The 13,321-nt window shown below is 36.3% G+C and overlaps 1 protein-coding gene across 1 annotated transcript in view; it reads right to left on the bottom strand.

The window, feature by feature from the left end:
• The window catches only part of ADGB (androglobin), a 216,491-nt gene that overhangs the window by 157,504 nt on the left and 45,666 nt on the right, over positions 1-13,321 (bottom strand). Inside the window, exons 3-5 of the mRNA NM_024694.4 lie at positions 13,094-13,186; positions 3,753-3,824; positions 979-1,188 (exon numbers count right to left, since the gene is read on the bottom strand). Of these exons, the coding sequence (NP_078970.3) occupies positions 979-1,188; positions 3,753-3,824; positions 13,094-13,186 (375 nt within the window). The remainder of the gene's footprint in view (positions 1-978; positions 1,189-3,752; positions 3,825-13,093; positions 13,187-13,321) is intronic.

The following is a 13,321-nucleotide window of genomic DNA, read 5'->3' as shown; positions in this document are numbered from 1 at the left end:
AAAGAGTTTGATATGATCTAGCATTGCTAATTTAGTGTGTGTCTGCTTTGCCATATTTATAAGGGGTTTTGGATCCTCTGTTTGTACTTCCTACTATTCTATTTGCTTTCCTTTTAGGCAGAGGTAACATCTTCCTGTCTCAGGGTAAGATTTGCTTACATGAAAACAAATCTCAAGTTCAGGACCAAGAACTGATGGGATCAGGCCCCTCAGCTACAGCAAAAGCCAGAAGAGGACTGGACCATGGGCTAGCACTGCCTCCTGCCCATGACCCTGATACCACATCAGAGAAGAAAGAGGAAGGTGGAAGCCCGGTGCATCCACCTGCCTGCCCCGCTCGCCTCAGCATGAGAGTGCAGAGGCAGTGGCAGGACCAGCATCTACAATGAGTGGCCATACCTCAGTGGTCTAGGCAGAACCTGTTTAAAGTGCCCATGGGACTGACATCACAGGAGAAGCTACTGTGTTTCTCATTAATCACAAATTACATATGCAGGACAGTTTCTCTCTGTAGCTACACAATTGATATCCTATAAAAACTGCATTATCTTGTACTAGCCTAAGTAATGGTGTGCAAGGCAACCTTCCTTTCTTCCTTCCTTCCTTCTCTCTCTTTCTTTCTTTCTTTTTTTTTTTTTGGAGTTTTGCTCTTGTTGCCCAGGCTGGAGTGCAATGGTGAGACCTTAACTCACTCAACCTCTGCCTCCCGGGTTCAAGCAATTCTCCCACATCAGCCTCCGGAGTAGGTGGGATTACAGGCACCCACCACCGTACCCAGCTAATTTTTTGTCTTTTTAGTAGCAACAGCATTTCACCATGTTGCCCAGGCTGGTTGCGAACTCCTGATCTCAGGTGATCCACTGCCTTGGCCTTTGCCTCCCAAAGTGCTGCGATTACAGGCATGAGCCACCATGCCAGGACAAGTATATTTCAATATGAAAGACTCATGAGTTTTTATGCACACGAAAATGGACTTACCATCCAGTAAAGTTTCACAACATACTTTCCATAGCTATTGAACAAAGGCATATGACCCTTCACAGCCTTGCACAGAGAGTATATGTGTTCCCAGGGCTTCCAGGGGAGAAGAGGAGGTTCCCCTGAAGTCCCCTTAAAATAATTGCTCAAAATTCCTCCATTGAAGATCTTCCACACTGCATAGATTTCACTGATAATCCATCTCATCAGCTAGAGATAAAAAACATTAGGGTTAATTGGTTATTTTTCAGTTGTAGGTACTGTAATTTAGGGATAAAAACAGTAAAAAAATCCACTTCCAAGAATAATATTAAATTATACATGTAATGTATTCCATACTTTCATTTCTGATCTACAGAATAAAGTTATAGGTCTTGCTTTTGTTTTTGGGAAATACAGTCACAATACAAACTAAAATGTCTCATACTAAACATACTCAGCTAAGAAAGCTGTCTGCTGAAGTAAACTGTGGGTGATTTGGCACGACTTCTATTTGACACTGATATTTATATGAGTGGTGTGTTTGTGTGTGAGAGAGAGAAAGCTTCTGAAAATTGTGACAAATGAGCAAGCTACTCTTTTGTAAATGTTAGATATTTGATAAGGATATTATCTCTTGTATGTCAATAGGACAAATTAGAGAAGGAATGAGATGTGAAAGAATTAAAATGGGGTAGACACATAAATATACTGTAAATCCCACATTTCATGGGTTGATCTGTAGCTGTTGAAATGCTCTAAGTAAAACGTCCCCTTGCAGTGTTTTTAACAGGCAGCAAGGCCCAGTGGGTGGATGGACTTCAGAGTGGAAACAGAGATCAGGATTTGAATCCTCTTTCAGATCTTCACAGCCTTCTGCTGCTGGGAAAGTTGCTTCCACCTCTCTAAGTTGCAGTTCTTCATTGTAGAATGTAGATAATAGTAGCTATTTTTCACATTTTTTTTTGTGAGGACTAGAAACAGTATGTAAGAAATCTCTAGGTCACAGTGGGTGTTCAATGAAGCCATTGTTACCTCAGTAGTATCTGATTTTCTGAATTATTCATCTCATGTTTAACTGCCTGGTTTATAAGGAAATTAAATATTTAATATTGACCTTGCAAGATTTATGTTTCTCTTAATTTGAGTTATCTAGGAAATTCTTAATGTTTGATAAAGTAGAAAAAGACAAAACAGATATCATCCTGTATATCTGGAAAATTTATTGTAGAATATTTTATACTTTCCTTCCCTTGAAAAATGAAAAGCGAAAGTCTAAGTGGGATTAGGATTCATTAAATAGGTGTATTTTATACTAAAACATAAAATTATTTGGAGATAATTTTATACTAATATGTATAACTGGTTGAAGAAATATAATATTTTGATTTTAATATGGGTCAAGATATTGAAGATAAGAAAAAGTATTTTAATCAATATTGACTATGCCCCACTCCTCTGAGTCTTAGCAGAAAATAATTTTTAAAAGTTCTTGTTTCTGATTTAATTAACATAGAGGAGTGGAACAGGCCTGCTTGTGATGGATAAATCCCAACCCAACATGGGGCAGGGAGGTGGGGAGTAGGAGGTGGGGAGATGAGTTCCCACAGGAAGTAGGACAGCTGTGCTGAAAACCTTGCTGGTTTGGAAGAGGTATTGTAATCCAAGTACACCCCAATTTCCCTTGCACTATCACATCATACAACATCACTGTACCCTCCTCTTGACATGGCATAGGGCAGGATGGGCAGCCACTTCATGTCCATTGCTGGTCATGTGGATCTCAAGGAGAAAAGCCCAGAGGGAGAGAATACAGCTACTTTGAGACCAGGGGCAGGAGAACAGAGGCTCACTAAACTCAGTTAAAGAGACTTCATTTCCCTTTTGAATGTTGGTGTGTAAAATACCATTACCTTAAGTGAAATAAGCCAAACAAAGACAAATAACTGCATGATTTCACATATATGTGGAATCTAAAAATACAAAAGTCTGAGAAACAGATAGAGAAACGGTGGTTACCAGGGTCTGGAAGGAGGGGGATATGGGGCGATGTTGGTAAGGGGTACAAAGTTTTACTTCTGAAAGATAAGTTATGGAGATTTACTTGCAACAATGCAGCTGTAGTTAACAATATTGTATTGTATACCTGAAATGTGCTCAGAGAATAGATCTTCAGTGTTCTTAACACACATATACACACACACAATAACACACACAATAATACACAATATTAACTGGCAGACACAATAATAACTGAGTTGATGGTTATGTTGATTAGCTTAATTGTGATGAATATTTAACAATGTATATCAAACCATCAAATTGTATACCTTAAATATACACAATTTTTGGCCAGGAACAGGGGCTGATGCTTGTAATCCCAGCACTTTGGGAGGCCGTGTGGGAGGACTGCTTGAGCCCAGGAGTTCAAGACCAGCCTGGGCAATGTGGTGCGATCTCGTCTCTACCAAAAAATTTAAAATTAGCTGGGGGAGATGGCACATCCCTGTAGTCCCAGCTACCAGGAATCTGAGGTGGGAGGATCATTTTTAGCCCGGGAGGTTGAGACTGCACCGAGCTGTGTTCACACCACTGCACTCTAGCCCGAGCAACAGAGCAAGACTCTGTCTCAAACACCCACCCCCATATATATTTTTTGGTATTATATATATATATATATAATACCAAAACTTAAAGGTGAGCAAGGGAGAGTTGAAATCGACTGTCTGGGAATGGTTTAAGCAGGACTGGAAGTCATTTCATGGTGAGACTTTAGTTCATATTTCTGTACATACCTCGCTGCAGAGTAAATGTTCATTTGCTGAAAATAAGTCAAACGTGATTTCATTTTTCACAACTACTGGAGTCTGAAAAAAATATATATGTATATATTACTCCATAAGAAAAATAATAAAAAAGTAATTTAATGAAATAGTTTTAATCCATTTATGCCTGAAGTTGCAATTTTTTGAATTTTTGCAATCAGACCTTGGCAATGACCTTGAGCAGTAGGATATAAATAACTCCCACATGCTTAGCGTTCCAATAATGGAACACTAGGCATAAATTGGTTGGTGCTGGAAATAGGCCACCCTGATTTCAGTTCTCACAACCAGAGAAATAAGAAATAAACACATTCCTTAAGATAATTCTTAGAGCTATAGGTGATAAAAATGTAATTTAATGCCAATAAGATACAGTATTTTACTATAGGAGTAAAATACATATATATGCAGGTAAATTTTTATTTTTATTTTTTAACTTTTAAGTTTGGGGTACATGTGTGGGTTTGTTACATAGGTAAACTTACGTCATGGGGGTTTGTTGTACAGATTATTTCATCACCCAGGTATTAAGCCTAGTACCCATTAGTTATTTTTCCTGATCCTCTCCCTCCTCCCACCCTCCACACTCCAGTAGGCTCCAGTGTGTGTTGTTCCCTTCTATGTGTCGATGTATTCTCATCATTTAGCTCCCACTTATAAGTGAGAACATGTGATATTTCATTTTCTGTTCCTTATGCAGATAAACTTAGCATGAACAGATACACAAACTGAGAGATTAAAAAGTACTTTAAAACAGTGGTCCCCAACCTTTTTGGCACCAGGGACCAGTCTAATGGAAGACAATTTTTCCACGAACCAAGGAGTTGGGGGTGGTTTGGGGATGATTCAAGCACATTACATTTATTGTGCACTTTATTTCCACTGTTATTCCATTGTAATATGTAATGAAATAATTATACAGCTCACCATAATGTAGCATCAGCGGGAACCCTGAGCTTGTTTTCCTGCAACTAGATGGTCCCATCTGGGGGTGACTGGAGACAGTGACAGATCATCAGGCATTAGATTCTCATAAGGAGCATGCAACCTAGATTCCTCACATGCACACGCAGTTCACAGTAAGTTTCACACTGCAGTGAGAATCTAATGCTGCTGCTCTGACAGGAGGCAGAGCTCAGGTGGTAATGCAAGTGATGTGGAGCGTCTGTGAGTACAGATGAAGCCTTGCTTGTTCGCCCGCTGCTCACCTCCTGCTGTGTGGCCCGGTTCCTAACAGGCCACAGATTGGTACTGGTCCATGGACCAGGGTTGGGGACCACTGCTTTAAAATCTAAATCAACCACTGAAGCTAAACCTGAAAACTTAGTTAACGTCTGATAGGAGGGAAAATATCTTCATCTTGGATGACTAATATTAGCCATGATAGCTTTTCTCCCATTTAATGATTATTGTCTATTTTGTTAGTGTTAAAATTTTTTTTGAGATTGTGATAGCTTTTTAAAATCTTGTTCAAGTTAATATCCTGTTAGATTAAAAAATTATTTTAATGGTCATTATTTAATTAGTACACTTCTAAATCAGGTACCAATAAATAATAATAATATAAAACTAATAGGGAAATACAAATTGTAACTTTTTTAAAATGAGCTATAATTCATATCAAGTATATATATTTAACATACCAAATTAACATGAAAACAGTTTTGATTAGAGAATCAGGTTTTTAGGAAAAGTAACACTGTCAATTACTTTCACTCATCTATACAAGCAGCATCTTGAAAAGTCAATAAAAAAAGTTAGAGAAAAATTTACCTAAAACTACCTTAAAGGCTTGAATTGACTCTGCAGATCATAAATTATAAACATAGTTTCTTCTGGCTTGACTGACTGTGATGGAACGCTTCTCAAATGCCCCTATACTTCAGTGATTACCAAAGTTGATAAGCTATACATTAATAAGTATTAGATACCTCAAGTTTGAAGTATTAGTCTTGATAGCCTCCTGCTGACAAGTGAAAAGTAGAAATTAAGTTTGTAAGAGACAACAAATATTAAGGCAGAGGTCTCTACAATGGCACACTTTCACACTTTTACTGCCTATACCTGTACCCGGGACAGGATAAATCTTCAGACATCCTAATCTATTCAACACATTCAATGCTCAAGGGTCTGGGCCACTCATTTCTAGTTGTCAGAAATAAACAGGTCTGGTAAGTTACTCTGTGATCAGAACTTGTTAACCTTTTTGGTTGGAAGGGCTCATGTTTATTCTGCTATCCTAAAGTCAGGATTTTAAGGTATTTTATAACAGTGTAATCGAGTAGCTTAGCTTCAAAATGCATTTTGAAACTTTTTTTCCTTTCTTGCTGTTAGCCATAAAATATACTGTAAAACTTAGTTTCCCTCCTTTCCCACCAGGCATCTCCATGCACAGTGCTCACTTATCTAATTACATGTTTGCTTAAAAATCCCAGGGGCTACTTTTGAAATAAACCAGGCATAGAGACCCAGCTGCAGAATTCTCCTGCTTAAGTGGAGTTATGAACGATTAGTCTACCATTATCAGGCCAAAGTCAAGATGATATCAATGATATCAACAAGAGCTGCAGATGGGCAAATATTCAAGATAGCCATTGGAAGAGACTTGCAGACCTGCATCCTCCTGGACCGCGGGTACATGTTTCGCCTACCAAGTTTTCCTTCTTAAACTCCCTCAATTAGCCCCCAGAGCAAAAATTGTCTTTTAAGGGCATAAGCCTGGCCATTCCCCAACTTCTAGCATTTGAATAAAGTTACTTTCCTTTCACCACATCTTGTTTCTCGTGTTCTGGCCTCTGGGCAGTGAGCGGCCAAATTTGAGTCGGTTACTAATTTGGTGCCCTTTGTGAGACACTGTGTGTTTCAAGTGACTCAGCCTGTACGCCTAGTTTCCAATGAGTGGAGCAATTGCCTGCAGCAGTGTGCCAGGGATTATTTGTTAATGCTACCAGGCAGGGCAGGGGCCACTTGCAAATGCCAGCAGCTCATGGCTGGTTGTCCCCATACCTGGGACCAGCAGCTACCAAGACTGCCTTTGTCTCAGGGAATTTCCCTTCCCTCACGTTCATGGCATCATCTCTTGCTATCATTCTCTGTCTGTGTGAGGAAAGCAACATCTGGGAAGTCAACAGGCTTCAAGAACTGGGTAAGTCAACTGGAATGCACCTAAAAATCCTCTGTCGCTGCCATCTGGTTTCTCTAGCTGTCTAGACTTAGTGTATGTCATCTGTGCTGCTGTGTTGGCTTCTGTGACATCTGGACTTAATGCAGGACAATTAAACTGTGGTGCTGTCAGCATTTGAGACAAGGTCTGAGGACATTTCTCCAGTAACCCCTTTCAGGGATTAGTTTGGAGCACTCTGTCTGCGTCAGATCCGTTGGCGTTTGTGTCTGTTTAGTCTTGCCCCTACCTCTGAGGGTGCTTTGAAATGGTCTCAATTGCACCAGCCAAGACCAGGTCCATCGGATTGTCAGAATTCAGCAAAACAGGCTTCTCCTCTCCTCACTAGGGGAGAAACTATTTCCAAAATCCTGGCCCCTGATTTTTTTTTTTTTTTTTTTTTTTTTTTTTTTTTTTTTGGTGGGAGGGACTCAGGAGTATTTATTGTATCTGTGTCAAGCTTTGTGCAGGAAAAAAAAAAACATGTGAATTATTTTCTAGTTTACCTGGGACTCCAGCTGGTTACATATTGTGGCTTGTTTGTGTGAAACAAACTGATGGGCAAATTCCAATAAAAAAAGTCAGAGCTCAAATACTTAACCTGCAACTATAGAGTTAAGGAGAGTCTTCTAAAGCTCTCTATTTCTCTTTTCTTTTCTGCCTGTTTTGAATCTGCTGTTATTAAGCTACTGGTGTTGAAATAAAACTTATGATTTCAAGGTTATTCGGACATTTTATTTTTCTTATACAGTTCATCCAGTTTTGGCTAAAATGTAAACATTGGAAACTCATTTAAAACAGAAGACAAAAGGATAAAACATGTTTTTAAAAATGACAACAGCTTTACCCAAAATTTTGGTCCACAGCTATTATAGGATTACCTATCAGGGCAAAGAAAGTTTAGCCATGTGGACAGGTCCCAATTTTCTAAAAAATAACATGGATCCAGCTATCTTTCATAGGGCAGTGAGTTTTTGATGCTGTCTCATGGCTAGAGTTCTTAGATAAAAACTATTGGATCTTTGTGTGTGTGTACATATATAATACATATACACGTTTAGATATGTTTAGGTATATGTATGTGTATTGTGCTATTCGTTGTGTCTAACATACTACCAAACTGGCTTATGAGTAAGTGAGTATTCATAAAATAAGTCCAGATGCTTTTCAAGTTCATATAAATCTTTGGTAAATAAAACTTGTTTTAAAATTATTAGTACAATAAAGCCAGTCATGGTGGCTCACACCTGTAATTCCAACACTATGGGAGGTGAAGGTAGACAGATTGCTTGAACCTAGGAACTAAGAGACCAGCCTGGAAAACATGGCAAAATTCTGTCTCTACAAAAAATAGAAAAATTATCTGGGCATGGTGGTGTCTGTCTATGGTCCCAGCAACTTGGGAGGCTAAGGTGGAAGGACCACCTGAGCCCAGGAGGTTGAGGCTGCCATGAGATGTGATCATGCCACTGAACTCCAGCCTGGGCAAGAGTGAAACCCTGTCTCAAAAAAAAAAAAATTAGTAAAATAAAAATAAAAATAAAAATGTCTTCAGAATCATCAGTATACATTTTTGTCTAGGTAAGTTTTATGTTTGTTTGCCTTTGCTAGTTATTTTAAGGTGTCAGAGTTTGGCACAAATATTGTGAGACTATCAACCCAGCCAAAAACAAAATAATCTTTGTGTGACTTTTTTTTAAAACAAATAAGACTAACTTAATATTGTTGTTTCAATAAAAATGGATAAATCTTCTGAGTTATCAGCAAAATGCCCACGTATTTCACTTTGAGATTCTTATTTAGGTGAATACCCGATGTTTACAGACTTCATAAATGTTTAGCAAAAAAAAAAAAAACAAAACTTTAAATAATGACTACCTTTGTTTAATATCTCAGTTTTCAAAAGTAATCTATTATACACTGTTAAAAATAAAAAATTGAGTACATAAAAATGAGATAAATGCTTGTAGGAAGACTTTTTGTGTAATTTAAAATCTTAAAATGATTTTGGATGCTTGTTGGATATCTGGGTCATTTCCAACTAAAATGGGTTTAATATAATATATGTGTTTCTAAAATTTGTAAAATGGTTTCATTTATAAAATGCTAACATCTGATAAACAGTTAAGGATTTCTTGCTGCTTAGGTTTTCATGAAAATTTAACATTACTAAAAATATAAATTTTAGTTAATATATAATTCTATAAATTTTCTTCTTATTTAAAAATAATTTTATATAATTTAGGGGTTATTTAAAAGTTTTTTATTTAAAAAGGTGGCTTATATGGTTTGGGTCTGTGTCCCCACCCAAATCTAATGTTGAATTGTAATTCCAAACGTCGGGGGAGCAGTCCATTGGAAGGTGATTGGATCATGGGGGCAGATTTCTTCCTTGCTGTTCTCATCATCGTGAGTGAGTTCTCATGAGATTTGATGGTATAAAAGTATATGCACTTCCCCCTTTACTCTCCCTCTCTCCTGTCACCATGTGAAGAAGTGCTTGCTTCCCCTTTACCTTCTGCCATGATTGTAAATTTCCTGAGGCCTCCCCAGCCATGCCTCCTGTACAGCTTGTGGAACTGTGAGTCAATTAAGCCTCTTTTCTCCATAAATTACCCAGTCTCAGGTATGTCTTTATAGTAGTGTGAGAATGGACTAATACAGTGGCTGAACACAGTGGCTAATGTTTGTAATCCTAGCACTTTGGGAGACCAAGGCAGGAGGATCACTTGAGTGCAGGAGTTCAAGACCAGCCTGGGCAACATAGTGAGATCCTATCTCTAAAAATAAAATAAAGTAAAAAAAGGTAAATAAAAGAGAGATAGATTTATATAAATATGAAAGTATATTTTTGGTTAAAAAAGGTTATAAAAATAATAATTTTGTGTAAAAAACTCAGATGGTAAATGTTTGGCCTAAAATAAAATGACTTATTATTTTAAAAAGACCACATAAAACAAGAAAGTCCAAATGTGTCATATATGGTCTGTGTAAGTTGTGACAATGTTCATAAAGGGAAATTTATTTTTAAAACCTTTGTATGTGATAAAGTTGACTATATATATTTTTAAATTATTTTCTAGAGTCTTTCTAAAATTGGACCTTATGTTAAAGAAAGGTTTTCTTAAGGTATTTATTTTCTTTCAATAAAATTACTATAAGTTTTTATTTAAATTCTATTATTTGTTTCTTTTAAAAACTTATCAGAGTCATATTCAAAAATTCAACTTTGTTGTGTTTTGCTGCTTTCAACTCTTTCTCCCCTTCAGAAGGACTAAGATGATAACTTTCTCCTTCAGCTTTTTCATTAGATCCTGTAACTTTTTTCATCTGGTTCTAGTTGTTGTTGTGGCCTGATGCTAAAATGTTTTATCTTAAAAATAAAATAAAAGTAATAAATACAGAATAAACACAATGTTTTCCCAAACTATAACTTGATTCTGTGCTCTTCGCTTTTTTAATATGTCTAAATTTTTCAATGAAATCAGAAAACCTCTCATGTAGTTACTAAAAATTATGTATTCCCCTACTATACTCATAACCTTGAACACACTCTTCCTGTGTCTGATTCACTTCAAGTACTTTTTTTCATCATGTTTGACTTCTAGGTTATCTAAATGGGCTTTCTGTAAGGAAAATCAGTCACACTAAAAAAGATTTCTCTTTGCTTTTTGGGCAACCGGCTTTAAAATAAACAAGATTTTATATTTTATCAAGATAATTCCTATATTATTATTATTATTAGATTTTTGATTGCTTAAAACCCTGAGACTAAAAAGAGTTAAGGTTTTTACATCCATGTAACCTTATATATTGCCTTTAAAGTCTTTTAACTATCAGACCCAGGAATCTGGTTTTTTTTGTTTGTTTGTTTTTTGTGTTTTTGTTTGTTTGTTTGTTTTTTGTTTTTTGTTTTTTGTTTTTTTTTGAGACAGGCTCTCACTCTGTCACCCAGGCTGGAGTGCAGTGGCGCAATCTTGGCTCACTGAAAATTCTACCTCCCAGGTTCGAGTGATTCACATGCCTCAGCCTCCTGGGTAGCTGGGATTACAGTCATGCATTACCATGCCTGAATAATTTTTGTATTTTTAGTGGAGATGGAATTTTGCCATGTTGGCCAGGCTGGTCTCAAACTCCTGGCCTTAAATGATCCACCTGCCACAGCCTCTCAAAGTGCTGGGATTACAGGCATGAGCCACCATAGCCAGCCTGTGATTCTGTTTTGATCAAATATTTTGAGCCCTTTAACATCTTTGACAAATGTCATCAGAAGTTAAATTCTTCTAAATTCAGCCTCTGATTTGTTGCTGAAACTTATCAAAATTATAAAAATTAATCACTACAGGGTTGTAAAATATTTTTTACAACTTCCAGTCAGGTCATGGACTCTAGTATCACTACCTTCACCCCACTGAAAGGTTTCTTTTCAGGTGCTATTAACTAATCCTTCTGCTGTTAAGTTACAGAGTCTTGACTCCTGGGCACACAGATGCCTAAACAGCTGATAGCTCAACACAATAAAACTTAAAGACAGGTCAGTTTTGTAACCTTGCTTTTTGACTTTAGTTTGGGGCTCTTATATTACTTGAGAGGGCTTTAATATTTAATAAACACCTGTCTACCTCTATTCCTATCTTGCTTAAAACGGTTAATTGGCTGTAAGTCTTTTGACTCTAAGTCCCTTGGCTATAGGGGTGCCACCAAAGAACATGATGGCCTGGCACAGGTAGCCACACCAGCCTGACATTAATATGAGCCAAAATAAAACCTTGACCATTGATACTGCCTCTGGCATATCTTGCCCAAAAAGGAAAGGGGGAATACATACTAAAAAGTAACATCCTAAGGCCACCCCAAATTACTGGGCAGACCCACCTCCTTGACCAAGGGAACCTCAGGGAAAAAACTTTTTTACTTATCCAAATTTACAACATCATCATCTTGTGGAATTCACACCCTTTATTTGTATGAAATGTAAGCTATGTACTTATATTGAGCAGAGACTGAATATTGTTAGTAACACATTAATATTAAATACATTATATTAATATCACTGAATTCATATTCTTCATGTCAATGTTATCTAAAACTTAAAGTTATCTAAAACTTTAAGTTACTATAAGTAACTTAAAAGCATGGCTCATATATATTCTATTTATTTTATTTCAAATATCTTATAAGTAGGCATTCAAAAAATGCTCTGGCTGATAGGATATTATTTTTGCATCTTATTTAATCTTTGAATTTAGATTCATCTGATTTACTCAACTAGTAAGAGTACTTGAAAAATATGGTGGACATATCATATTTTCTTGAATTAGTAGCAGTTCTAATGGGTAAAACTTTTAGGAATAAAGTAAATTTCATATAGATACATAGCTTTAATGGATTCCACAAATGTACAGAACAATCAGCTTTATTACAACAATTTGACTACTTCTAAATAATTTAGCCCACTGGTTTCCTATGCATTAGGTGAAAGTAATAGCAGATTCAAGGAAGAAAAAAGGCATTAGTCATAATTAAACCCTTGGAAAAGCTAAATATATTCAAACTAACATATAGCTGTTATGAGGATAGACTAGGGTGTCTGAAGATTTAATCTCTTAATCTCTATAAGTGCTATTTAAAAATGAAAGTTTATTGAGTGACATTCCAGTCAATATGATTCACGTAGTTGGGCATGAGATCCAGAAATAAAAGTGTTCTCTGGAAAATGCTTCAAGAATCCCTGAAATAGAGGTATCTATGTGCAAAACTCTTGGGCTGGAATATTAATGCTAATAAGCACCAGAGAAAACAGACCTCCATGCTATGAATGTTCATGCAAAGAAGCAGAAAGAAGTGTGTCAATCAGAAATTAAGGAACAACTTCATACAACATTTTAAGTTATAAGTTAGCATTTTGGAGGGAAGAAGAAAAATCAAGGTTCTAAACAAAAATTCAATAATCTCTTAGAAGCCAGTACAAGAAACATTAAACTATATTAATAAACATTTAGTTTTGATTAGTTGCCAAAAAGCAATTACTTTTTTACTGAATACCACAAGAGAAAATTACCCTAAATCATTACAAAAAATGCAAATTTTTATCAGTAGGATAATACATCCACATAGTAAGTATTTTATTTAATAGAAAAAACTTTCTTACCTGACTAAATAAAATATCTTGTGGACGTTTCCAGGAATAAATTTTCAAGGATGGTGGTAACTCAATCTTTCCTTCAGGGTCCTCAAAAAAATGCTATATAAAAATAAATTGAGTTTTTTCTGCATATTCTTTTATTAAAATAAAAAAACAATTTTAATAAAAAAGAAATAAGTGCATAGATTTGGTCAATCAATAAGCCTTTACAAAGCAGTTTGTGTTCTTGTTGTA

The sequence above is a fragment of the Homo sapiens genome, chromosome 6 (assembly GCF_000001405.40).
Source record: "Homo sapiens chromosome 6, GRCh38.p14 Primary Assembly".
Classification (NCBI taxonomy): Eukaryota; Metazoa; Chordata; class Mammalia; order Primates; family Hominidae; genus Homo; species Homo sapiens.
Note: the sequence above shows the minus strand (reverse complement) of the source record. Positions and strands in the feature narration are given on the sequence as shown.